This window comes from Homo sapiens, chromosome 7 (assembly GCF_000001405.40).
Source record: "Homo sapiens chromosome 7, GRCh38.p14 Primary Assembly".
NCBI classification, from domain to species: domain Eukaryota; kingdom Metazoa; phylum Chordata; class Mammalia; order Primates; family Hominidae; genus Homo; species Homo sapiens.
The window spans coordinates 130,378,617-130,405,312 of NC_000007.14; the positions used below are offsets into that span (position 1 = coordinate 130,378,617).

General features: G+C 46.4%; 2 protein-coding genes across 10 annotated transcripts in view, besides 2 other annotated features; one reads left to right on the plus strand and one right to left on the minus strand.

Annotated features, from left to right (window-relative positions):
- Positions 1,485 to 2,006: an enhancer, noted in NCBI's record as "H3K4me1 hESC enhancer chr7:130019942-130020463 (GRCh37/hg19 assembly coordinates)". NCBI's record gives its function as "activates a minimal SCP1, AML or CMV promoter by ChIP-STARR-seq in primed H9 embryonic stem cells {active_cell/tissue: H9 hESC(primed)}" and the evidence as "EXISTENCE:reporter gene assay evidence [ECO:0000049][PMID:30033119]".
- CPA1 (carboxypeptidase A1) lies at positions 1,878 to 9,492 on the plus strand. The gene is made up of 10 exons (NM_001868.4): positions 1,878 to 1,969; positions 2,482 to 2,563; positions 3,014 to 3,247; positions 3,492 to 3,593; positions 4,775 to 4,876; positions 5,068 to 5,178; positions 5,920 to 6,010; positions 6,530 to 6,729; positions 7,223 to 7,307; positions 9,208 to 9,492. Exons 1-10 carry the CDS (start codon positions 1,905 to 1,907, stop codon positions 9,393 to 9,395), a joined length of 1,260 nt encoding a protein of 419 aa, NP_001859.1. The 5' UTR covers positions 1,878 to 1,904; the 3' UTR covers positions 9,396 to 9,492.
- Positions 15,155 to 26,696, minus strand: part of CEP41 (centrosomal protein 41) — a 47,971-nt gene continuing 36,429 nt past the window's right edge. For 5 of the 9 annotated variants that reach the window (XM_047421053.1, NM_018718.3, XM_011516709.4 and 2 more), the window contains 6 exons: positions 25,948 to 26,092; positions 24,032 to 24,183; positions 23,265 to 23,332; positions 22,091 to 22,205; positions 21,423 to 21,638; positions 15,155 to 20,423 (listed from right to left, as the gene is read on the minus strand). In XM_047421053.1, the coding sequence (XP_047277009.1) occupies positions 20,275 to 20,423; positions 21,423 to 21,638; positions 22,091 to 22,205; positions 23,265 to 23,332; positions 24,032 to 24,183; positions 25,948 to 26,092 (845 nt within the window). In that variant the 3' untranslated portion in view covers positions 15,155 to 20,274. The remainder of the gene's footprint in view (positions 20,424 to 21,422; positions 21,639 to 22,090; positions 22,206 to 23,264; positions 23,333 to 24,031; positions 24,184 to 25,947; positions 26,093 to 26,696) is intronic. The other 4 variants (XM_047421055.1, NM_001257159.2, NM_001257158.2 and 1 more) reach the window with 2 other exon arrangements.
- Positions 16,066 to 16,125: an enhancer, noted in NCBI's record as "active region_26655". NCBI's record gives its function as "activates an Ori minimal core promoter by ATAC-STARR-seq in GM12878 lymphoblastoid cells {active_cell/tissue: GM12878}" and the evidence as "EXISTENCE:reporter gene assay evidence [ECO:0000049][PMID:35858748]".

Here is a 26,696-nt window from a genome sequence, read left to right on the forward strand (position 1 = left end):
ACCTATAGTCTCAGCTACTCGGGAGGCTGAGGTGGGAGGACCGCTTAAGCCCAGGAGGTTGAGCCTACAGTGAGCCATGATGGTGCCACTGCTCTCCACAGCCTGGGTGACAGAGCAAGAACTTGTCTTAAAAAAAAAAAAAAGGCCTAGGTCAAATGTCACCTTCTTGGTAAAGTCTTCCCTGGACTTTGTGCCATAGTGTGTGTCCTTTTAGCCCTCATGGTACTTTTCATACCACATCACATCCCTGTTTAGGTCTCTTGCAGGGAGGAGAACAGTCCCCAAAAGTCCTTTGCACGTCTAATCCCTTATTGGTGACAGCTTCTTGGAGGACCTGTTAGAGGACCAACAAGTTAGTTGGTTACTTCTGTCTTCCCGCCTAGACCGTGAGCTCCCTGAGGTCAGCGAACATCTGTATTGGGTGTCGTGTCCATGTGGAGCACAGTACTTGGCCCAGAAGAATAAGTATTGATTGAATACATCGACAAAGGGGTGAGCATTTAGAGAAGGAGCAGACAGGTGAGCCAGGAAGCAGCCAGAAGAAGCTCCAGGGAGCACTGCAGCCCTGCCAGAGGCGGGTGGGGCCAGCAAGGCTGTACAGGGGAGAGCAGGAGCTGCCGCATAGGCTCCACATCTGTTAAAAGCGGGTTTAGGGCTTTCTCACCTTCCTAGAGTTAGGTTTGGGAGATAGTTGTGGATAAATATAAGGGGGTCACTCTGTCTTGGTGTGGGAGGGTTGGCCAGCTAGGGGGTAGGGTAGGAGGCAGTGGGAGTGAATAGAAACTAGAACGGGCACTATGGCTCTCACCAGTGCCCAAGGTCGGGGTCCTGACACAGAGCAGAGCCTCTAGATGGTGCTGGGAAAGCCCTGGGGGGCCCGTGAATGAGGATGGATTTGTGGGATTTGTGATGGATTTGTCTCTAGGGTGAGATCAGCATCCAGAACCCAGTGAATTCCCCTGTGTGGGTTCCAGTTTCTCCTGGACACTGTGCAGTCCTCACAGGGGTCTGGCCCTGGCTCCCCCCGCCACACTTGCTATTCAGACGACATCTGGTTACTGTTCCCATGAAGGGCAACCCCGACCTCGGGGCCCTGTACTGGTGGGGGTGGAGGGAAATGCTGGCAAGGGTTGGGCTCCTGACCCTGCTGCTGCTGCCCGGGCTGGACTCCCACAGGACCCTAAGGCCAGCAGGAGGGGGCTGGGAAGTCCCACAGAGGGACTGCCCCGCACAGGGCCGGGGCAGCCTGGACAAAGCCGGTGTGGTGACAGGCCAAACCGACGCAAAAGGTTAGTCCACCCTGCTGGTCTCTCCAAGGCATCAGGGTCCGTGGGAGGAGGAGGTGTCCGGCACTCCGCAGGTATCTGTGCTTCACACAGGTCTAATGGGGGAGAGCCTGGGCCTGCCTGAAGCTGCCTTGGGGACAAGAGAGGGCAGAAGCCCCACTTGCTCGATCACCGGAATGAAAGGCTGGCACTCAGGAGCACGGAACAAGGAGACGCCTGGAATGAGGCCCCAGCAGGAGTGGCTGCTTGGAGTCCTGGCTCCTTCTCCGCTACCCAGTGGGCAAACAGAACCGCAGCTTTAGGGTGTGGGCAGGCAGAGTCCTGGCTGGGACTCCAGGAGGCCTCGAGCCCCCGCTGACCCTCAGGCCCCGCTGGCCCCAGATGGTCGGGGGTGGAGCTCTGGCTTATCTCTCCAGCTGCCCAGTTCCCTGCCACTTTATCATGGAGGGTGAGAGGGTGTCAGAGCTCAGAACTCCCACCCCAGCCTCCCCGTGGGACAGGACCCAGGTGCTGGGGGAGAACAGACCTCGGGAGCAGCCAGGAGTCCTCGGTCCTGGGAGGGTTTAAAAGCCAGGGGGCCGTCTCGACCTCAGTCTGACCTTCCCTCCCGGCAGCAGCATGCGGGGGTTGCTGGTGTTGAGTGTCCTGTTGGGGGCTGTCTTTGGCAAGGAGGACTTTGTGGGGTAGGGATGTGGAGAGGAGGGGGTGCCCTCTGAGGGTGATGGGGAGGACTCAGCCCCCAACCAGTAGAGGAGACAGACAGACAGATACATGGCAACACAGCCAGAGAGGATGGCCTGGCACCACCTGGGACAGCTGGCAGATAAGCAACCAGGGTTGGGAAGAGGTTGTGTCTCCCAAGACAGTCTCCTGAGCCCTGGAGAAACCTGAGCTCTGAGGAGGAGTTTTCAGGAGAGGAGAAAGGAGGAGGCCTGGCTGGCTTGGAACAGAGAAATAGTCCAAACTGGGATTGAGATAGTAACAGCGTCTAGAAGTTTCTAAAGATGGGGAGAGAAGAGGTGAGGGAGCCCAGGCCTCTCCTTGTTGAGACCCTTGGTGCTGTCCCCTGCCCAGCCCAGAGGACGAGGCCCAGTCTGGGGATTCTGGGCTGCTGCCTCCCTCCTGCACCTGGGGAGTGCTTGTGGCCAGGGCAGGTGCAGCTTGGGTGCTCACTCCCCACTCCCACTCTGCCCAGGCATCAGGTGCTCCGAATCTCTGTAGCCGATGAGGCCCAGGTACAGAAGGTGAAGGAGCTGGAGGACCTGGAGCACCTGCAGGTCAGAAGAGGGGAGAAGGGCTCTCTGAGGCCCCAGGGTATCAGCTGGGGCCACCCCAGGTCCCCAGCGGCCAACTGTGCCTGGGCTGTCTCCACCCAACAAGGAGACATGGAATTGACTCTGTTAGGAAGCGACTTCAAGCCCCCAGCTCCAGAGCCTTGCTGCCCTTGAGCACCTGGGCAAGGGGCCGGGCCCCTTTCCAGTTCCTCCCTCTGCCTTGCTGTCTCAAAGGCCCCTCACTCTGCTCCTGGGCCATTTCCCTGACCACACTGGACTCTCCAGTCCCCAGGGTTTCCCCGTATTTCTCTGGCCCTATTACCCCTGACCTATCCCCAATTATATGAGAACTTCTGGCACCAACAGCCCCTCCCACGCAGGCCCTGTCCCTGCCTGCTGTCCTGGCTGGTGCCCCCAGCCCGCTGTGACCGTGCCGGCTCTTGTCCTCCCCAGCTGGACTTCTGGCGGGGGCCTGCCCACCCTGGCTCCCCCATCGACGTCCGAGTGCCCTTCCCCAGCATCCAGGCGGTCAAGATCTTTCTGGAGTCCCACGGCATCAGCTATGAGACCATGATCGAGGACGTGCAGTCGCTGCTGGACGAGGAGCAGGAGCAGATGTTCGCCTTCCGGTCCCGGGCGCGCTCCACCGACACTTTTAACTACGCCACCTACCACACCCTGGAGGAGGTGAGGGCGCCCCTAGCGGCCGCTCCCTGCAGCCACCAGCTCTTCATCATGGCTGGTAGAACGCGGTAGGGCCAAGGCCAGGGCCAGCCTGGGTGTGCGCAGCGCCTGCTCTGTTTCCATGTGGCCTGTGTGGTCGTAGCTCCATTGCAGGGCTCGCAGCAGGCTGGGACGGTGGGGCTGCTAAGGGAAGCATCTGGGTGCCCAGAAGCTATTAAGGCCAGTGGTCTCTTCTTTCACACCTCAGATCTATGACTTCCTGGACCTGCTGGTGGCGGAGAACCCGCACCTTGTCAGCAAGATCCAGATTGGCAACACCTATGAAGGGCGTCCCATTTACGTGCTGAAGGTAACATCCACATGTGGACATACACAGGGGAGAATGGACCCACACGTGGCATCCGTGATGGGCGTGGGCTCTCCCGGGGAAATCATGGTACCAGGGAACACGCTGTTAAATGGACTCCCCATGCAGACATTTGGAAAGGCCTGAGTCTCCACCCTGGTCTTGGCGTGTGCACTCCTGCCCATACACAAAGACAGGTGATCCAGTGTTTCCAATCAAGTGTCCATTGTGGAAGGTACTGTAGAGTCTGGGTAGTCCAGATAAAGTATTTTCTTGAGACAGAGTCTCGCTCTGTCACCCAGGCTGGAGTGCAGTGGCATGATCTCGGCTTACTGCAACCTCCATCTCCTGGGTTCAAGCGATTCTCCTGCCTCAGCCTCCCGAGTAGCTGAGACTACAAGCACGTGCCACCATGCCCGGGTAATTTTTTTTTTTTTTTTTTTTTTTTGAGACAGAGTCTTACTCTGTCACCCAGGCTGGAGTACAGTGGCGCAGTAGCGTCATCTCGGCTCACTGAACCTCCACCTCCTGGGTTCAAGCGATTCCCCTGCCTCAGCCTCCCAAGTAGCTGGGATTACAGGCGCCTGCCACCACGCCCGGCTAATTTTTTGTATTTTTAGCAGAGACAGGGTTTCACCGTATTAGCCAGGATGGTCTCGATCTCCTGACCTTGTGATCTGCCTGCCTCGGACTCCCAAAGTGCTGGGATTGCAGGCATGAGCCACTGCGCCTGGCCAATAATTTTTATATTTTTAGTAGAGACAGGGTTTTGCCATGTTGCCTTGGCTGGTCTCAAACTCCTGGGCTCAAGTGATCTACCCGCCTCAGCCTCCCAAAGTGCTGGGATTACAGGCGTGAGCCACCACGCCCAACCCAGATAAAGTGTTTTGTTTGTGATGTCCCCCAGAGAACTGTCCGAGCAGCAGAACAGGGGAAGGGCCAGGGGCCTGGTCAAGTCATATTCACCCCAAGCTTGGGCTGAGGGCAGGAGGCCAAGCTCTGTGGGATCCCTGTCCAGCCCCCAGCCCCAAACCCACCTGAGTGATGGCCCCACAAGCAGAGCCTCTACCTGAGATACACAGAGAGCAGGTGGTCTCTGGCCCAGGTCGGGGTCTCCTTCAGGGCAGCAAGATGAGGCCTCAGCTGTGAAATTGCCTCTGATCACTCCCCTGCCTCCTCTCCAGTTCAGCACGGGGGGCAGTAAGCGTCCAGCCATCTGGATCGACACGGGCATCCATTCCCGGGAGTGGGTCACCCAGGCCAGTGGGGTCTGGTTTGCAAAGAAGGTAAGGCCGGGGAGGTGAGGAGGGCTCTCACCTGGTGGGGCATTGGTGTCCAAGGCCCACAGAAGCCCGGGCCTCCCTTTGCCCATCCAGAAGCAGTGACCACAGAGGACATGGGGAAAGGTGTCCATTGCTGTGGCTTGGCAGATGCCTGGCCCAGCCTGCGCTGCCCCTCTGCTCCTCTAACCCCCCAGATCACTCAAGACTACGGGCAGGATGCAGCTTTCACCGCCATTCTCGACACCTTGGACATCTTCCTGGAGATCGTCACCAACCCTGATGGCTTTGCCTTCACGCACAGCACGGTACCGGCCTTCTCCTGTCCTTGGGGGAAGCAGGATGGGCCTCTGGCTTCTAAGCTGCACAAGTAGTTCACCCCTAATCTCAAGCCCCAGAAGTCAAGGGAGGGGCAATCAGACCTGTGCTCCTAGCCGAGGGTGTCTCAACAGTGGCGTGATTGGCATTTGGGGTGAATGATTCTTTGTCATGGGGGCTGTCCTGTGCATCCACGGTGTTTCTAGCATCCTAACCTTACACCCATTCAATGCCAGTAGGAGCCCCCCTCTCCAGTGGTGACAACCAAAATGTCTTCAGATATTGCAAAATATCGCAGGGGAGGGTCAAGATTGTCCCCAGTGGAGGCCCACTGCCCCAGACCTTACTTCCTGGTCCTACTTCTATTTTTACGGCAAATAAAACATCTGACCAATGACATGGGGCCACAGTGGTGGTGGAGGACACCTCGCAGCTTCTTCGCCATATAGAACCCTCTGGCCAAATGCCATCCTATGGCCTTCCCCACTCTCTTTCACCCGATGCCCCCTCTGCTGATCTTCCTCCCCGACAACCAGCTGGGAGTGGATCCCATCCCAAGCTGTGCCTGCAGCTCAGCTTCCAATCAGGGCACTTGTGTTGAGGGCTTCCACCTCCAGGGAGCCCTCCCCTCAGTCCACTCTGCTCTCTGCAGCCTCTGAACCACCCCCCACCCAGCACTGTGACAAGCGTCACACGTGCCTCGGGGTGGCTGATCCCATTTCCTTCCTCAGAATCGCATGTGGCGCAAGACTCGGTCCCACACAGCAGGCTCCCTCTGTATTGGCGTGGACCCCAACAGGAACTGGGACGCTGGCTTTGGGTGTAAGGCCCAGAGTGTCTTGGGAGCAAGGATGGGATGGCCTCGAATGGCTCCTCACCACTGCTCTTGCTCCCCGCCTCTCTCCTGCCCCTGCAGTGAGGGGAGGGTTGGGGGTGGCAGCTCTGCCTCTGAGGGCTCTTGGGGATGGAGGCTGTGCTCTGAGAGTTGGTTGTTACTCGCCTGCAAAAGGCAAGTTGCTTGCAAATGGGCTAAGGTCTGAAATCCTACCTAGGGGGCTTCTAGCTTAACCTCAAGTCCTCCCGCCTTGGCCACGTCTCTGTGAGAACTGGTCTCCACTGAGGAGCCCGTCTTCCCTCCCTGGGTGTGTCCATCAGCTCTGCCCAAACCAGGCTGGGAGGGCAGTTCCCCCAGGTTATAGAAGGCCTTTGGGCTTTCCTGAATCCAGGGGTGGGAGTGAGCCCTTCCATACCACCTCACCCCCAACTCCATGCAAAGAACTGGATTCCAGAAGCCACAGAAGCTGGAGGAGCCACACCGCCATGCCCTCTGTCCCCCCACAGTGTCCGGAGCCAGCAGTAACCCCTGCTCGGAGACTTACCACGGCAAGTTTGCCAATTCCGAAGTGGAGGTCAAGTCCATTGTAGACTTTGTGAAGGACCATGGGAACATCAAGGCCTTCATCTCCATCCACAGCTACTCCCAGCTCCTCATGTATCCCTATGGCTACAAAACAGAACCAGTCCCTGACCAGGATGAGCTGGTAGGCACTGACCTCGGCTTGCCCCCTCGTCCCCAAGGTGGCTTCGGACAGGCCCAGGCTTTCCCCCATCAGACCTGCTTAAGGCACAGACACCTCCAGAGTACCTGACACCCTTCCTTCCCTGATGGCTTGGGAAGACCAGCGGGTGGACTAACCATTTTTTCTGGGAAACTGAGGCACAGGAGTGATGGAGTCACTTCTGTAATGTGACAGAGCAAGGGGCAGGGCTAGACTTCGATCTTAGGCACCACATGTGGAGGTGCATGTGCCTGAAGGGCAGGGAAGGCCAGCCGGACACCCTGAAGGGCCAGAAAACTGTGCTGACAGGCTCCCGGGCTGAGCTTCCAGGCTAAGCAGGCTCTGTGCTCCCTGCTGGAGGCCCACTTCTGCAGGGTGCTTCTCCTAGGCTCCCCTGCCAGCCCCCAGACTACCCTGGACATGCTGTTCCAGGAGCCTGGCCATGACAGGTGGCTTTGCTTGGTGTTTTGTCCAGGATCAGCTTTCCAAGGCTGCTGTGACAGCCCTGGCCTCTCTCTACGGGACCAAGTTCAACTATGGCAGCATCATCAAGGCAATTTGTAAGTGGCCGTAGGGTCTCTCTTGATGGGCCTGCGAGGAACATCTGCTGGCTCTTCCTGACCGAGGGAGTATCCCTCATGGAAGGAAGTAGCCAAGGGCACCCAGATCTGTCAACTGCTGGCAAGGGCTATTCTGAGGGGTGGGCAGTCCCTTTTCCTGACATGAACTCTGCTTCCTTTGATACTTTCAGACAAATGTGAATTCCTCTGACAGCTCTTGTCCTCTTGTGTTGGGGCCAAGTCTAGTTTCTTGGTTGGATGGGGTGGAGAGTCCTGCTGGGATTTGCAGATCACCAGGAAATTCAACTTAAAAAAACACTTCTCGGGGGCAGGGCACCGTGGCTCATGCTTGTAATCCCAGCACTTTGGGAGGCTGAGGTGGGCGGATCACGAGGTCAGGAGATAGAGACCATCCTGGCTAACATGGTGAAACCCCGTCTTTATTAAAAATACAAAAAATTAGCTGGGTGTGGTGGTGTGCGCCTGTAGTCCCAGCTACTCGGGAGGCTGAGGCACAAGAATCGCTTGAACCCGGGAGGTGGAGGTTGCAGTGAGCCAAGAGCACGCCACTGTACTCCAGCCTGGGCGACACAGCGAGACTCCATGTCAAAAAAACAAAAACAAAAACCACTTCTCCTCCAGTGCCCCTCAATTAGACAATAGGCCTGATTTATTCCTCACTTACTTATTCATGCAGTGCCCCTGAGAGGAGCATTACTGAATCAAAATGGAATTAACTCAACAAATGTTTATTGAACACCTACTATACACCAGGCCCTGTTTCATGTACTTGGGATATAGCCATGAATGAAATAAGCAAAGATCAGGGAACTTTCTAGCCAGGGAGACCAACAATGAACATAAATAAGTAAATGATACAGTATGTGAGGTGACGAATGCTGGGGAGGAAAACTAAAACTAGACCAGGTGAGGTGAATCGGGAACACTGGGGGTGGAGGTGGGGCAGGTGGGTTGAAGGGTGGGCCTCATTGACAGAGTGACATTTGGGCAACTATTGAAGGAAGTGGGTGGAGGAGGTGGCAGCCAGGAGGCTATCCAGCTAGGAAGAGCCTTCCAGGCAGAGGAACATTCTAGAGCAAAGGCTCTACAGTGTGGTCTGGCCGGGGATGTTGCTGGAACAACAAGACTGGTGTGGCTGCCTCCAAGTAAGTGAAGGTCAAAGCTGGGTAGAAGGCTGAGGGGGCAGGGCTGCGTACACACCTCACACGCTTCCTGCCTGAGTGCCTAGGCCTTGGTGGGCAAGCAGGTCACAATCTTATCCAAGGTTGACCTCACTTTTGGACTCCAGGCCTTCTTTGGAAACTGATTCAACTCTGAGTCAAGGTTTTGCTTCATTCAACATGGTCAAGTTAAATTCTGATATGCAGCCTACTGCTCTCTCCTGGGCCAATTCAAAAGTGGCTTCATTACCCACTGTTAATTACAGTTTCCCGGGCAAAGTTTCCTCCTAAAAGAAAGACAAGGGGCTTTTGCTTTGACTCTGGCTCTTTGCACTTTCCCCCTCACAGACCAGAGCCCCAGGGGAACAAATCCTGGTTACCCAAGCAGGGAACTCGGTATATTTAGGGGCTTCACCGAAAGGGCTGTTGGACAGAGGCTGTTTTCAGAGGGGCTTGTGCAATTGCAGAGACTTCCTTGCATCCCCTAGTGAATAGGGGAACCATTGCTGGTCTCCTCTTTGGACCTCTTGGCTTAGACCTTTTAGTGGGAGTTTCTTGGAAGTGAGGCTGCTTGGTCAACAGCAGACCTTAGTAGACACTGACTCCACTCAGCATTGCACAAGGCACAGAGCTTTGGACAGGGTTGGATCGTTAACCCAACCCGTGTAAATATTCCCAAAGTGATTGACCCTTTCTCTCCTATTTTACTCCTGCCCCAGATCAAGCCAGTGGAAGCACTATTGACTGGACCTACAGCCAGGGCATCAAGTACTCCTTCACCTTCGAGCTCCGGGACACTGGGCGCTATGGCTTCCTGCTGCCAGCCTCCCAGATCATCCCCACAGCCAAGGAGACGTGGCTGGCGCTTCTGACCATCATGGAGCACACCCTGAATCACCCCTACTGAGCTGACCCTTTGACACCCTTCTTGTCCTCCTCTCTGGCCCCATCCAGGCAACCAAATAAAGTTTGAGTGTACCAGGAACAGAATCCTGGGGCTTGCATGTGGAGTGTCTGCCTCTTCAAGCTGGGGCAAAAGTGATTTAATTCCTGCAGGCCTCACTGGAAATGTGTGGGTGGTTGGACTAGATGACCCCTACATTCCCCTGCATTCCAACATCCTGTGAAGTCGTATCCAAGTGGCGTCTGTTTTAATTAGACCACCCTGAGTTCAGCTCACCAGTGGGATGATTTGTTCATACCTTAGTAGCAAGCAGCAGCAACAGCTGCTAACCAAATGCCCGGCACCCCACAGTGGTGTGGAATTCGGCGTGTACAAAGGTCTAGCTAGCTGTGTCCATTCATCTATAAAAGCAACAACCTAGAAGATGAAATATAATAATCCAGGTGGCCACTGCTGTCCAAAATAGATGTTGCAGCCAAGTAAAACAGATTACTAAAGAGCAAAATATCATCTTCCATTCCGGAATCAAATTGGAAGAAAACAATTGGGTTAAATAAAATCATTAACTGCAGATAAAGAACCAATCCAAAGGCCAATCCCAAGACATTTTTAATTTTTAATTTTTTTTGGTAGAGATGGGGTTTTGCCATATTGCCCAGGCTGGTCTTGAACTCCTGGGCTCAAGCAATCCTCCTGCTTTGGCCTCCCAAAGTCCTGGGATTACAGGTGTGAGCCATCACATTTGGCCAAGATATTTTATTAACTGTATAAATTAATTATATATTCTGAAGATTTTGCCTTTAGGGATAGAAATCACCCACTTTTCATTTGCCACATCCTTCCCAGCGTCTTTGGTACATGGTTCTGCTCCCTCGTGTTTCCATCCACCCCACTCCTTCCCATTCTCCTGTTGAGACCACAGCTCCTAGGCTTTAGCTTCCCTTCTTCAGCTTGGTGATCCTGATGCAAGTGATATTACAATTAGCAGCTAGCATGACTACATAAGATATCCCAACTTGTTTCAAAGCAAGAATCTCCCTTTTGGCCTGGCCACAGTGGCTCACGCCTGTAATCCCAGCACTTTGGGAGGCTGAGGTGGGCAGATCATGAAGTCAGGAGTCCAAGACCAGCCTGGCCAACATGGTGAAACCCCATCTCTACTAAAAATACAAAAAATTAGCCGGTCATGGGGGCGCATGCCTGTAATCCCAACTACTCAGGAGACTGAGGCAGGAGAATCCCTTGAATTCAGGAGGTGGAGGTTGCAGTGAGCTGAGATTGCACCACTGTAGTGTAGCCTGGGTGACAGAGGGAGACTCCATCTCAAAAAAAAATTAAAATATATTTAAAAATAATAAATGCTTGTGAAATGGAGACATGAAATTTGTTGTCCATCTCAAAAAAAAAAAAAAAAAAAAAAAAAAGAAAGAAAGAAAGAAAAAAGAATCTCCCTTTGTTTCTTCCATATCACTTCAGGTGTGAATGTGGAGCAGGGGGTTTTCCCACAGACTCTGCTGGGGAAGTGAGTGGATTGGGGCTGGAGTGAGGATGGCAGCTTCTCTCTCTAGCAGCCAGGCCAGGTTTCAAGAAGCATCCAGCTCTGTTGACTTGAGTCTTTTCCATATAAAATGGCCTGAAGGCCAAAAATGCCTTTTTTAAAAAAAAAGAGGAACATTGATGGAATTTTCATCTTGGACTTTTATTTTATTATTATTTTTGCTATCAACATTCTAAAAATAAAAATAAAAAGAATGAGGGCTGGGCACAGTGGCTCACACCTGTAATCCCAGCATTTTGGGAGGCTGAAGCAGGAGGATTCCTTGACCCCAGGAGTTCGAGACCAGCCTGGGCAACATAGCGAGACCCCCCCCCCCCACCTCCACAAAAAATAAAAAATTAGCTGGGTGTGGTGGCATGCACCTGTAATCCCAGCTAATCGAGAGGCTGAGGTGGGAAGAACCGTTGAGCCCAGAAGTTTGCAGTTGCAGTGAGCCATGATGGCACCACTGCACTCCAACCTGGACAACAAAGTGAGACCCTGTCTCTTAAAAGAAAAAAAAAGGATGAGGCTCTATGTATGTATTGTTACATTTTGTATGTATTTGTTACATTATTACATTATATCATTTACATAAACGTATAAACATGTAAATTTATGAGACGAGGTAAAATGGTGTTTCAGTCTTTACAGAAAGATGACCTAAAAGATTTGATAACACCCTCTTCAAGTTATCTTTTAGAAAATGCTTCCCTTCAATCTATATAACGACATTATAACTCTCTTCTCAAAACCCATTTTAACTGCTTAGTTTGAGTGAGTAGGAAGCTGATCACCTTTTGTTTAATGAAGACTGATAAGAGAAGAAATATTAAGTTAGCATGACAATTTATCACTTTATAAAACTGGAGCACTAGACTTTGATGGTAGAATTGCTTAATTTAAAATAAACTGTGCTTCCCGACAGCAGGAACCACCTTGTTTGGCATTCAATCCCCAATAGCGTTAACAGTACCTGACACATAGATGCCTAATAAATACCTGTTGAGTGAATGCTCTCTACTTTTATTAGTGAATTCATAAATGTTATGATCTGTATGTTGTAGGCTTGCTGAAAACACCCTGTGCAAGTTATTTTGAATTCCCAGAGTTGAGTAAGTCTTAAGAAAGCTGAAGTCAATGAATGAATGTCAATTGCACAAGGGCAAGGATTGCTTTGTTTTGTTCACCATTTAACCCCCACTGCTTGGCCAAGTGCACAGCACACAGTAATAATATTGGTATTAATATCAATAATAATAAATGCTTGGCCAGGTGCAGTGGCTCATACCTGTAATATCAATACTCTGGGAGGCTGAGGTGGGAGGATTGCTTGAGCTCAGGATTTCAAGACCAGCCTGGGCAACACAGCGAGACCCAGTCTCTATAAAAAAAACAATTTTAGGCTGGGTGTGGTGGCTCATGCCTGTAATCCCAGCACTTTGGGAGGTTGAGGTGGGCAGATTGCTTGAAGTCAGGAATTTGAGATTAGCCTGGCCAATACGGCAAAACCCCATCTCTACTAAAAATACAGAAATTAGCTGGGCAGTGGTGCATGCCTGTAATCCCAGCTACTCGGGAGGCTGAGGCATGAGAATTGCTTGAAACCAGGAGGTGGAGGTTGCAGTGAGCCAAGATTGTGCCACTGCACTCCAGCCTGGGTGACAGAGGGAGACTCTGTCTCAAAAAAAAAAAAAAAAAAAAAGAAAGAAATATATTAAAAAATAATAAATGCTTGTTAAATGGAGACAAGAAAGTTGTTGGTTTTTTTTTTTTTTGTACTTTCAAGTATGGGAAGAGATTTACATTTTGTTTGTAGATACACATTTTTACAAATCTATGGGTGAAGACACTTAAAATTCTTAAGTAAAAACATAAAGCTAAAAGACAATTTTGGAAAATATTGCAACTTAAAAATGAAAGTATTGATATGAAAATAAGTATTAATAACCTAAAAGACAATTTTGGAAAATATTGCAACTTAAAAATGAAAGTATTGATATGAAAATAAGTATTAATAACCTAAAAGACAATTTTGGAAAATATTGCAACTTAAAAATGAAAGTATTGATATGAAAATAAGTATTAATAACCTTGAGGGGTTAAAATAATAAAAAGGGTTAAAGAAAAAGACAAACATTTCAAAAGAAAAATAGGCAATTCCACTAAGAAGAAACACAAATCAATACATGTATGAAAGACACTGATCCTCTAAGTGATTTCTTGTTCATTAAGGAGAAATGAAGATATTTTTCTCTCATCAGATTGGCAAAGAATAAAAAGACTGATGACTCCAGTGTTAACATGTAGTGCTGGTGGAGCAGAAACTGGCACCACCTTCCCAGAGGGCAAATTTGGCAATATAAATCAAAATTATAAATGTATTGTGTCTTTGATCCAGAAAACCCACATGGAAGAATTTACTTTATAAAAATATTTGGATGGATTCAAAAATATGTATGTACAAGATTGGAAAAGTAAAAAACAAAAAACCTAGATAATTACCAGTCTTGATGCTGATCTGACACATCCACACACTGGAACAACACGACACCATTAAGGGCTGTGTTGACATGGAAAAATGTTCACAACATACTAAGTGAAAGAAACTGGCTATAAGATGGAAATGTTATAAAACTGGATTGTGGTGATGGTTGCACAATTCTGTAAACTTAACTCAAAATCATTGAGTTGTGCACTTAAAATGGGTGAATTTTATGGTATGTGATTTATACAATACAGTTGTTTTAAAAAAGAAGCTGGATACAAAATATTGAGTCTGGATCCCATCTTGTTTAAAAGACACACACACACACACACACACACACACACACACACACACACACAAACATGCTTTCTCTCTCTCCTTCTCTTTCTCTTCCTGGAAGGATATATCCCCCAATAATAATAATGATTAACCTGGGTAGTGGTGGTGGTAGTTTTCCTTTTTATGCTTCTCAGCATTTCTCGCAATGAGCTTCTATAATCAGCTTTTATAACGGGCAGGGAGTGAAGGGAGCTATTTCGAACACAGTAGATAACATGTGTGTAAAGTTACCTAACATCGGTGTATTATCAACATCAAACAGCTAAATGGCCATCTTAGTTTTTACTCAGATTCTTTTGATTTGTCTAAACTCATTTTTTTCTGCTCCGGTATAATGTTTCATCATCTTGCCCGGAACGCTGCAGTTTGTCTTATCTTCAGAAAAATTCACACTCCAAGATACAGCTGGAAGCAGCAGTGTTTCTACCAAAGGAAGAGATTACTCAGCTCATGCAGTTGGGGGCCATTCCCCATCCTACCCCTTGTTGTAGCTTGATGAAAATTCCCAAAACCCCTTCCTGCTCACATTCAGTTCTTGTAGCTATCTTGGGAATTGATTATGCTAATGCCTATTCCCCAGGGCCTTTGAAAATCTTTATTTTCAAATGAACTCATTTTACTTTTTACTCAGACCATTACATATGGTTCTCTAATGGCCTGTGGGCCCAATATTGGTGATCTATGAGAATCCTTAGGGTAGCCTCTTGAATTAACACTCAGATATGCACAGCTAGCTTTCTGTCTTTGGCCTAAAGTTAAAATGGGAATGTCATTGAATACAATCCAGATATGACCTCACTGGTCCTTCATCCAGTGCGGGGCGATTCATCACCCTGGCAATTGTTTTGCAAGGGCGAGTGGGATGAGGTGGATTTGAAGATGCACAGGGACTCTTGCTTTAAGGACTACAGCAACATCATTCTGTGAACACACTAAGACCCAGATGCTACTCAGATGAAGCTGATATGACTAACCGTAACATTCAAATTGGCCAAATCAAGGAGAAGCTCTCAGAAAAGCACAGAGCATGCATCGTCAAATCTAAAAAACTGTCAAAGGGTAATGAATTATTCCCCAAAGCTTTCAGGATCTGCATTAATTTGGCAACTCAAACACTGAGCATCATCCAACAACCTCAGAGACTGGGATTGCCAAATGTTTATTGCCAAACTAAAAGGAGAAAATGGAAAGTCTTCTGCTTAACCACAGTAGTGGTATTGGCTACATTTTTAGAAGAGTGCAGTAGAATAAGGGCTCTGCTGACAAGGACTGGGGCAAGGAGGTTTGCCTCTGCTTCCCCCGGGAACTCAGGCCTATGGCCATCGCCAATTCATGCAACTTATGTTTCAGCCGAAATCAGAAACATCACCACAAAGGAAAGAAAAGATCAGGCACAAATCATATCAATATGGTTTACTGAATGAATGGCTAGACCTATCAGGAAAACAGCCTACTTTTTTCCCCCTACAATATAATTAAAAGTTTGTAATTCTCATTCCTTAAGTGGTACTTTGCAAGGTGTCCATTAACAGACAAAATAACCTCGGAAGCCCTGGAGCACCTGTCTTCAAGATAAGACAGCAGACACAGGCGGTGGAAATGTGGAAATACGCATTCCCCAGAGCAGATGTTTCAGTTCCTGAATTTCCATCGCCTTTTGTGCAGGCAAGCGGAGGAAAGTTTTCAAAAGAATCTCGGCTGACTAGGAGGGAAGGGAAGCCAATAGCGAAGGGAAAGGTACATTTTCACGGTAAGTTAGAGGCATCACCAAAGGAGAACATGGTTGTGCCCACCCAGAGTGAGAAGCATAGAGCGGAGTGGCTGAAAGAACACCCTCTGGAGCCACAGTTCTCAGGCTGGCTCCTGGCTTTTCAAACCCTTGGTCAGAGACTGAAGGCAAACCTGAGTCACTTAATTTCTACCCGAACCTCAGTCTCCTCATCTGAAAATGGGGGTGCCTGCCTCATCAGACTGTTGTGGAAATTAAATGGGTCAAAACATATAATGAAGAATCTAGGAGCAAAGTAAGCTCTCCACAAACATTGGCTAGTATTATTATTTTCTGGAAATCTTCAAGATTTGAAACAAAAGAGAAAACCTACTCTTAAGATGGGGGTGGTGTGTGACCTTTGCGTGCTGAATTTGGGAGGATACTTTAAGCCTGGCAGAGACAGGGTAATAACACCCCCAGCAGCTCTCTGGGTACTTCCTGTAGAGGGAGATCTAAAAACCTCAGGGTTTTGAATGCCTCGCCCACAAAGGCAGGATACACAAGGGGGACAGAAGATAACGAGCTTTCTGGGTCTCCAGAATGACAGACTAGCACTGAGTGGCCACCACAGTGGGCATCACATCCAAACTTCAATCTTGACAGGTTCAATTCATTTATTCATGAACACTTATTAAGGGCCACTGTCACAGGGTTGGTGATTTTCACTCTCTGGGAGCTTATAGTCAAAATAATTGCAACAGGAAGACATATTGATATCCTTTAAAAGATGCAGCCCATCCGTCCACAGCATTTGAGAAGTGGCCTCTCTTTGCCTCACATTTTACCAGGTGCTTCAGGATGTTACACAGGTGAGAATTTGCTTCTGTACAGAACAAAGAGGATCAGCAACAGAGAGGGGAGCCATCAGGGGATCACAATGTGACAGACACCGTTTCGAAAACACATAAAATCATGCACCGAATCCTGTTCTGCCTGAATTCAAGGCTGACAAATTTCCACCATTACATTTTTTATGTTGTAACTGACCTGTGTATCCATTTAAAGATGTCATAATAATAATTTCAATAATTATTGTAAATCTAGGAAAGTATTACTACCCAAATGTATTCTGAACATTTTGGAAGCACAATGTTATTTATTGCTTTTGCATGAAAAAATAATTGTTAGTGAAAAATTAATGGACCTGCATGTAAGTACTCAACATGCTCACATAATTAAACTGGTGAATTATATTCCACACATTTGCGGTGTTTCCTGGGGAAAAAAAAGTATCGTGGGAGTTAAATCTTTGAAAGAATTGGGAAGAAAATAAACACACATTAAAGACACTGAGAACGTTTTAGAACTGGAGAAAGAAAGGTTCTTACTGATTATCTTCAGAGTAGAGCAAGAAGGTGGTCATGGATTTAAATCCAGGTGGACAGAAACTAATTATTCGCTCTAAAAAAGTCAGATAACATAAAAGACAGAATCTATAGCCAATAAACAACATGACAGAAACCAAAACCAACACAAGAAAAATTACCTACGTATTTCTTCCTAGCCTAGGACTCTGATTTCACTTACATTCCACAAGGGAATTAGAGAAAACACGATTTTTTGTTTTGTTCTGTTTTCTTGGTCGAGTAGCCTAAAGTCTTAAGAATTTTTGTATAATTTAAATAGCACCACAGGAAAAATCCCTGAGCAACTAATGAATGTTATTTGGTCTCTTTTCATTCGGATTTATACCAAGCCCAATATGATCGTGCTGGTCCTGGCTAACCACTAAAGGTTAAAAAAAAAAAAAAAGATAAAAGATAAAATGAATGCAGGCCATTTAAATCATTCCATACTTTTTCAAGAGATTGAGCCTGACATTATTACAGCCCAGGGTGTTCCTTTTGTTTTCAAATAAGTAATGTAGCTTTCTCCTTTCTCTCTCGCTTTCTGCTTCTTTTCTTCTCTCTGCCCTCCCTTCTTCCCATTTCCTTGCTTCTTTCTCCCTTCCTTTCTTTTTTTCTTTTCTCCCTTCCTTAAACACAAACCCCTTTAAAGCATTTAAGGTATTATTTAAACTTTGGCCATCACTGCTGTTCAGGGTGCTGTAGTTGTACATCGATGAAGCACCTTCTGTCTCAGGGTTCACAAGCCCCAGACAAGGGCAGCTAGTCAACCCCTGAGACGCTGGTAGGAAGCCATGATCCAGTTGTTGAAGGTGGCTTCAGTCCCAGCCTGAGCAGGAAAAGAAATCCAGGCTTTCTGACTGGAGAGCTGAGGCCCCCTGCCCTAATTGGACTGATTTCCTGATTCATTTATTTTTTTTAAAAAATGCTTTCCTAGGAGATGCAGCAAAAATCACACCAGTCTCCTGTGGCTCCCCCAAATCATCTCGACAGAAAAGAAGAGAGAAGTTGGCAGTTTTCAGCATATTAATAGCAAACGACAAATTAGTAACTATGTACTTTAATCTTCAACATTCATAATTGCACAAAGCATCACTGGTCATTTAAATAATACATGTCAATTAATCTAATGAAGAAACTGGCAAAGTAGAATGTTAAAAGCAATACCTCGAGCACGTAAAGAATGTTTGATATTAACACTTAACATGCAAAACGCAGATTAGAACAGCTCTTTTGAGCATGGTTATTTAAAATCCTTACCAACAGGGCAAAGCAAGCACTGTGGAGAAATACACATAAATATATCCAACCTGCCAGATCTCTCAGGTGAGTGCACACCAATTCTAACAGGTCTGGCTGACCTGGCTTTCCACATATATACAGTGGTTTCTAATACTCCAAAGTTGTCTGACGATGGGAACGCAGAATCGGAACAAGGAGGGAAGACCATTTACTTTCAAAATAGAATCCGGCAGGGAAGTCTCAACTCCTGACAAGTCACCTTTAAAACAGCATAACCAGAACTTTCTTACAGAGAAAAATCTTTTTTCCTTAAAAATGTATATGTGGCAAAAATGGCTGAAAATCTTGTCCATGCTAGGGGAAAGCTGAGTGTGGAAAAATGTGCATTTTTCTATCTATGCTGTAAAGAAAATACAAAGCCAGAGCATTTTGGCATTAGCAAAGGCTGAACTAAGTTCTCAGGCAATAAATTTATGGGGAAACATGACAGGCTCCTCATTAAAGCTATGTGTACGTTGGCTGAATTTTATACAAGATTCTTGAATCTTGTGGAAAATTGGGCATGGCTTGACATCTGAACAATGTCCCTGGTTTGTTTGATTTCTAAAGCATCGGAAAATGTTGCACTTTGGAAATCAAGTAGAGAAGAATAAACACACTCTAAAACAGAACTGGGCTGAATCTGAAAGTTATTTTTCCATATGTCTCTATGAGATATTTATTACGTTTATTTCTCATACAAACACAGCCCCCATGCTAGAAATACTGTGGTGCATTTTTTTTTTTTTTTTTTTTTTTTTTTGGTGGCGAGAAAATAGTACTGTTAAGGCAAATCTTACCCCGTAGCAGTTACCAGCAGGACAGGCAATTTTCAGTGGGCTTTTCAGAAGCTGGTTGCCATGACAAAGAGCACAATTTATTCCTCAGTCCCTTATCACAGCTACGATCACAGACCATAAAAATTAACACCGCTCTTTTCCATCTGATTTCAGAGTTCCTCATCCTTACCTGAGGCCTTTTGTTCCCCCAATTAAATGGAATGAATGTCAGTCATTTAGCAATTCAATTAATGCTGATTCAAAATTCCGGCCAAAACCAGAATCTATAATCACAACTTCCTAATCACAGTTCAGTCATGAGAATGAAAAGTAAGCAGGAAATTGCACTAATTACTCAATTAGACTAATACTGTATTTCTAAGCAAGGGCTTACGAGGTTGTCAGCCCTGACAAAGGACTTCGGAGTCCTCTTCACCTTGTGTGTCCACAGTTGTCCAACCAAAGCTGGTATTTTCAACTGGCCATAATTTCTGTCCATCTAACATGGATGGACTGAAGCTGGGCAATGGGCGTCATAACTGATATACTGACCACAAGTGAGGGCCGCTTTGGTGGGCTTCAAGGGGCACAGGCCGGTGTGGTGGCCAGGGCTTTCCCATGAGAGGCCCTCCTCCCCGGTGTGAAGACACCCACATGCATACCTTTCTGGCTCCAGGAAATATCTAGTAAGGGGGAGCATTCAGTGAGTGTACAGCTACTTTCCTCATCTTCAATTTCAGTGAGTACACAGGCACTGGCTTCCATACTCAAAACAGGGCCTGCAATATGCTGGGCAGAGAGCTCCTTGCTGAGTGAGCCTGCTGGGGTGGGGTCTGCAGGCGGCTGGAACCTAAGGCTCATCTGCACCCTTGGAAACAGCTTCTCACACCAAGACTGCCCGGAGAAGCCTTCATGAAGTCAAGAACAGTGAATGAAAAGGTGGCAGGGACAGGCACACGGGCAGATGTGACTGAAGTATTTACAAAACAACACAGAGAGACCCAACAAGCTGGACCTTATTAAAAAAAAACAAAACAAAAAAACTAAAAACGTAGATACTTTTTTCCTATACAGTTTCACAAGACTTAAATATGCTGTAAACAACAGGGAGGAGACTAGAGCCTGTCACACCTCTGGTTTTTATGGTCACCTGTCAAAATCCTTCCTGAGGTGGCCTCCTGAGGGGAGAGGAACTGGAGACAGGGACAGGGAAGAGGCCTATCCCATACATATGTCATGGTCTTTCCTCTGCAGAAGTTTCTGGAAATGACCCAACTTGGGAAATGCTCAGGGGTTCTGAAAAGAGGAAGAACATTTATTTGCCTAAGTGAGACAAAGTCTTTACTTCCAGGGTTTGCCTTGCAGGTGACCACTGCTGAGGGAGCGGGGGTTTGAGTGGCTGGCGGGGCCGCCACCTGGCAGATTCTGAGCGCTTCGGGCACCAGGCACCTTGGACTCTCTTCCGGAGGAGTTAGCTTGGTTCAGTCGGCCTGAAGGGAGCAAGAAAGAAGGAACAGAGCTGCAAGAATGATTCCAGGGACAATCTGCCAAGTACAGTTTTAAGCTAATGAAGTCCTAGCCTACAACCACTTTTAAGCTAATGAAGTCCTATGCAGTATCTACTTTAGGCCAACGATGGCCTACTCCTCATCCTTGAGATCAGCCTGAAGGTGGGGAGGGGGACAGAAATGAAGGGAAACCCAGATAGGTTTTTTTTCCCTTCCTCTCCAACATCCCCAACAAACCTAGTCTGTCCTCCACTACTTCCTTGGTAGAGAGGATGCAGACGAGGAGTGATTTGGGGAAAGAAAAGAGAAAGCAGTACGGTGAAACTAAGGTAGGAAGACAAACCACAGAGGCTCTCAGAGTGGAGAAGCAAAAGCTGCAGAAGGAATCGAAAACTTTCCAAGAAGGAATCTGAAGGTCTGATGCTTAACTCCTCAATTTTACCTGAGATATACTTTTTGATGAAGTCTCTACATTTTTGCCTGGGCGTGGTGGCTCATGCCTGTAATCCTAGCACTTTGGAAGGCTGAGGTGGGTGGATCACTTGTGGCCAGAAGTTCGAGACCAGCCTGGCCAACATGGTGAAACCCTGTCTCTACTTAAAATACAAAAAAATTAGCCTGGTGTGGTGGCGGGCACCTGTAATCCCACCTACTCGGGAGGCTGATGTGGGAGAATCGCTTGAACCGGGGAGACGGAGGTTGCAGTGAGCCAAGATCATCCCATTGCATTCCAGCCTGGGTGACAGAGCAAGACTCTGTCTCAAAAAAAAAAAAAGTCGCTATGTTTTGATAAAGTCTCTCTTCAATGCGTAATTCTTGCCACTATCTGGGGTCACCTCCACTGCCTCCCCTCCCCAGCACCTGTAACATACCTCCCTAGTATTTTAAGAATCTAAATATAAGAGATGAAGGTTTTCATATGATGAGGTGATATTCAAAGCTGCAAACCAAACATTATCTTTAAAGGTCAAAAGATCTTACTAGGATGATCTGCAGGCCCTTGCTCCTCTTCCAGATAATATTCTATCTTTTTTAAGTCTTCTGGGGTAAATCTCCATTTATTCTCAGCTGGTAGGGGTGGCCCTTTGGGGCTGGATCGTTTCCGGGCAGACCCAGGAGGAAGGGCCTGCTGGCAAGATGCTGGCAGGGAACCAGTAATCAGTCCTTCCGGGAATTTCTGAGCTAAGACTTTTAGACCTAGGTTTGGAAAATCATCAGAAAAAGCTGCATTAATATGGCAAGGCCAGGCCAAAACCTGGAAAGAAGCCTGCATGTCTTCTAATCTCTGGTCATCAAGTTGAGGCCAACACAAGGACATGAAATCTTTCTTAACTATTTCATCATTAAGCAAATTATACCAGAAAATATCTGTTGTTACATGGGATTCTGAGAATTCCACAAGAAATCCTTTTGCTCGAGTCTTCAGCATTAGGGCTTTGTGACAGAGCCCTGAAGCAACATCAGGAATTAAAAACATGTGCTGATGAAGCTAAGGGAAGTTTCACATAACTCCTGACTCCTTTCAGCCAGCATGGCTTTTTCTCTTTCCAGAACACTGAATTCTGAGCACCAAGAGAGAAAAGGGGATGCAGGTGGGACTGAAGGATGATCAGCCTTTGAAGTCCCAAGCAGAGTATCACCTTGCTCACCTCCGGAAAGCATGAAGAGGTTTTCAAATCCACGCTCGCACATGGTGGTGGCCGCCTGACTGGCCAGCCTTTCATCATCGTCATACAGAATGATGATCTTGCCATGGGCATTTTTCTAAGAGTCAGATGAGTTAAGGTTCCAAGGCACTGGGCTGATGTCCCAAGACTACGAGAAACCCCCAAGGAATAAAAGGTCAGGTCCACCTGTCTGAGTTCCCGGGAACGATGGACAAGCCCATTCCTACCGTCACACCAGCAGGGACTGGATGGTTTCCCATCATGGAAACCACACAAGCTGGTATTCGTTTCTTTTGCAAACTGATGTTACCATGATCTAAAAGACAGCACTAGTTCCGGACTTTACATCCTTTAGCTCTCTTATCCCTATGACCCTGGAAAGTAAATATTACAATCCCCATTTTACAGATGAAGAAATAGAACAACTTCTATGCCTAATGTGTCCACTGAAGCCTATTTATGACAGTAAAAATGTGGGAGCCATCTAAAAAGTCCAAAATAAAGGAATATTTTAGTAAATCATAGTAAATCTGAAGATATTACACAGCATCAAAAATGTGGTTTACAGAAGGCTTGCATCAGCATGGGGAAATACATCGGGATATGAACTGAAAAAAAGCAGGATACTAAATTACATATATAGTAAGGTTTCAACTTTGTTAAAAAAAAACAAACACACAGAAGACAGTCTGGAATAAAATATACTAATAATGTAATAGAAGCCACTGCTCAACTGTGTGATTATAAGATATTTCAATTTTCCTTTTAATAATTTTTGGTATTTAAATTATTTTCTGCTTGTATAATTTTTATCAATGAAAAAATTAAAATTTTAAAGGAAAAAATTAAAATAGAAAAAAACCCTAAGTTCTGCTATGGAAAGTTTTCTGGGAGGAAAAAAACTCTCTTAGGACTAACTCTCAATGGATCCTAACTCTTAACCTAGTGTTTTTTGGCCCAGGGCAAGACGGTTTGAAAGCATCCGCCTAAAGAGTCAGGATTCTTGGCAATAGCTAGGAATCCAAATTCTAAAATATGCTCAGCCAAATAATATCAAAGGTCCTTCACAGCATTCTTACCAGGAGCGTGGTTCATGATAACTTTGATTCTTACAATCCTCATACCACCCAATTCCTTAAAATGCAACAAAGGATACATATTCAAGAATATCATTTGAATAAGGGTTCATTGTTCTAGACAGAGTTGCAATTGGGTAACTGTAAGCTGCAAAGAGAAGAAAAAGTTTAGGAAGTCTGTTGTTCTCTTAATACAACTTGGCCTCAATTCCCAGCTGGTTTAAAATCTAAGAGTTAAATACATCTTCAAAATCCATGAGCTGCTGGGCATGGTGGCTAACACCTATAATCCCAGCACTTTGGGAGGCCAAGGTGGGTGGACCGCTTGAGTCCAGGAGTTTGAGACCAGCCCGGGCAACATGGTGAGGCCTCATCTCTATAAAAAATACAAAAACATTAGCCGGGTGTTGTGGCATATGCCTGTAGTCCCAGGTACTCGAGAGGCTGAGGTAGGAGGATCACTTGAGCCCAGGAAGGCAAGGCTGCAGTGAGCTGTGATCGCGCCACTACACTTCAGTCTTGGCAACAGAGCAAGGTATTAACAAAAAAAAAACAAAAAAAAAAATCAACAAGCCATAAACCTAAACACTTCTGTGAAAGAAAAGAAAGAGCACTATGAACAAAGCATGAAGCTTCACTTCCCTGCTTCTGACAGCCATCTGTGAAAATCAGCAGCCTCTCAAGAGTATTTTATGGTGGAGCCAACCCTATAGGATTCCATAATGGATCCAGCTAACATACGGTTTCCTCAACTGTCTACCATGGGCTGTGGTTCCAGCCTGCCTAGACTCAAGAGCAGGCTCTCTGTTCTTGAGAGTGAGGCACTTTAAAGCCTTCTCTCTCTTACCTCCAACAATGTGGCACTGCTGGTAAGAATCTCTATCACGCACATCTAGCAGCAGGAAGGGGCAGTCAGGATAAGGTTTGTCTTTGGTATGGGGCTCTGCTTTCTTCACTGGCCCTTTGTCTAGATCCAGTTCCCCAACACCACTGATGACACTGCAAGTGAAAAAGTAGGTCAGCAGAAACTAGTCAGAGGTTGGTGGCTTAAAGGTCGAACGTGTCTCTTCAGAATAGTGAGGTGAGTGCTCAATGTCTTTTCAAAGGACGCTTCAAAGGCAAAGGAAAATGGACGTGGTGTCTCAGTTCTGCCTCTGAATGCAGGATCCTGTGGATTTTCTCTTCTACTACACTGGACCCCACAGAGGAGACCCACATGTCCACACTCACCTTCAGACAATGCGTGTCAGTGCATTACATGGCTGAGGGGGTAGGGACTGAAGGGCACATGCTGCCTCTAGCCACAAGGGCAGCATCAGAGGGAGAAAGAGGGGAACTGTGAATCCAGTAGAGCGAAAGAGGGAAGAATATGGTTGGTAGGACAGGAAAAAGGAAAGACATTTCTTTCTACGTGTAAGTAATATAAAGTAACAATAATGCTTTATATATTTCATATACGTAGTCAGTGACATATCTGCTATGGTATTGAGTCTTAATACTTACATAGCTCTCTGTACTTACTCCAGTTTTATAGGTTACAACATTGAGGTTGACGAGGCTTTAGATTTGGTGGCATTCATAGAATGAGGCAGAGGAAGAGCTGGGATTAAAATGAGGAAGCTAACCACTACCACTAACAGTTCTAATTCTAAGGTCATTCAATCACTGAAACTGGTCACCATCTTAATATTATAGGGAAAATGTGGTAAAAACATGAATCAAAGTAATAACAAGACTAGGTGTTATGAACAAAATGGCAAGCAGTGAAATATCCTTACTGGAATAAGAAGATGGTTACTTTCTTAGGAAATATTAAGACTCATATGCTAAATCACAGATTAGTATGTAGCATAGCTCCTTTCCCATAACAGCAAATCAAATTCTGCATTTAAATCCAATAAACACTATAACTCTATGCTATATAGTGCATATTTTGTTGAACCAAAGGAGAAGAACATCTGTTTGATAAGAAACTGCATCCTCAGTGGAAGTCCTGTTGGCCTATCTCTTCTTGAGTGCAATTTTAGAGTCCTCTCGCAAAAGTAACTATAATAATATAAAGCTAAAAGAATAATAATAATGGTGGGATGATGATAGCAATTCTTTCTCTGGTAGAACTAATTTCTCCAGAACTATTTTATCAGTCAAAGGGATGGACATCTGCTGAAAATCAGTACTGCCCTATAATCAACAGTTAATATTAGTTAGAAAGTACTACACGGACTAAAGTCCATGTAATCCTTGGAATAAGGAGGCCCATGCCTTAGAAGAAGGAGCAGAAAAATAAAATAAAAAGAAGGAACAGCCACATTCAGCTTTAGAATAAACACCAAGTACTGCTTTTTCCTTTGCACCTACTCAGTATCAGAGCACTATGTGTGGCACTGTCACTTCCGGACAGGGTATTATAAGCTTCAGCAGTCGGAAAAGGGGGAAAAATCATACTCTCTGAATCAAAAGATAGTATTTGTAAAGCTAATTCCTCATAACAAACTTATATGTAGGAGGGAGAAGAATGGAACGAGAAATGAAAATTAAACTCTCCTATTAATATATTCTCACATTAACTCAGTAAGAATGCAGTGAAAAAGATTCAGGAGGTAGCATTTATATAAAGATAAAGTAGAAGGCTGGGATTAAAATGTGAGACTTTACTCCTGCCAGTTCTGTTTCTAAGGCAAGAAAAAAAAAAGATCCCTGAAATTGGCGTCTAGATTAATATAAAGGCAAAATGCAGTGAAAATATGAATCAGCTTCGAGTACCTCTGAAGAGTTGAGCGGCTGGAGTCCCCTGCTCCTGCGTTGTTTATGAACTGCTCAGGGCTCGGCGACTGCTCACCTGGATTTCCTTTCCCATTGGTCCTGGCAGTGGTTTCAGCATCAGGGTCTGAAGCTGCAGAATCATTGTCTAATATTTACAAATGAAGAAATAATTAGATTGAACCTCAGGATTTGTATTTACTTATTAGTTCCACTGACATTAAGTCAAGAAAAGGAAATCTTATCATCATTATTAAATTGTCGTGGAAGTGCTAACGTACAAGTTCCCAAAGTGTAGTGGACCCCAAACATCCCCAAGGCCCTTTCAGGGGATCTGCAAGGTAAAAACTATTTTCATGAGATGTTACTTGTCTTTTTTACTGTGTTTATATTTGCACTGATGGTACAAAAGAAATGGTGGATAAAGCTGCTAGCACCTTAGTAAGAATCAGGGCTGTGGCACCAAGCTTTATTAGCAATCATTGTATTATTCACCATCACGCATGCATTCACAGTAAATAAGTATGGCAGTCACACTACAAGAAGGTCCCTGTTAAAGCAGTAACACTTACTATTCTTATTACATCTCACCTTGAAGTAAGTACATGCTTTTTTTAATGTTCTGTGTGATGAGGTGAGGAGTCCACATACATCACGTTTGCTACATACCAAATTACCAGGGTTATCTCAAGGAAAAGTATTAGTGTGATTGCTGAGTTGCAGGCTGAACCAGTAACTTTTGCTATGCACAC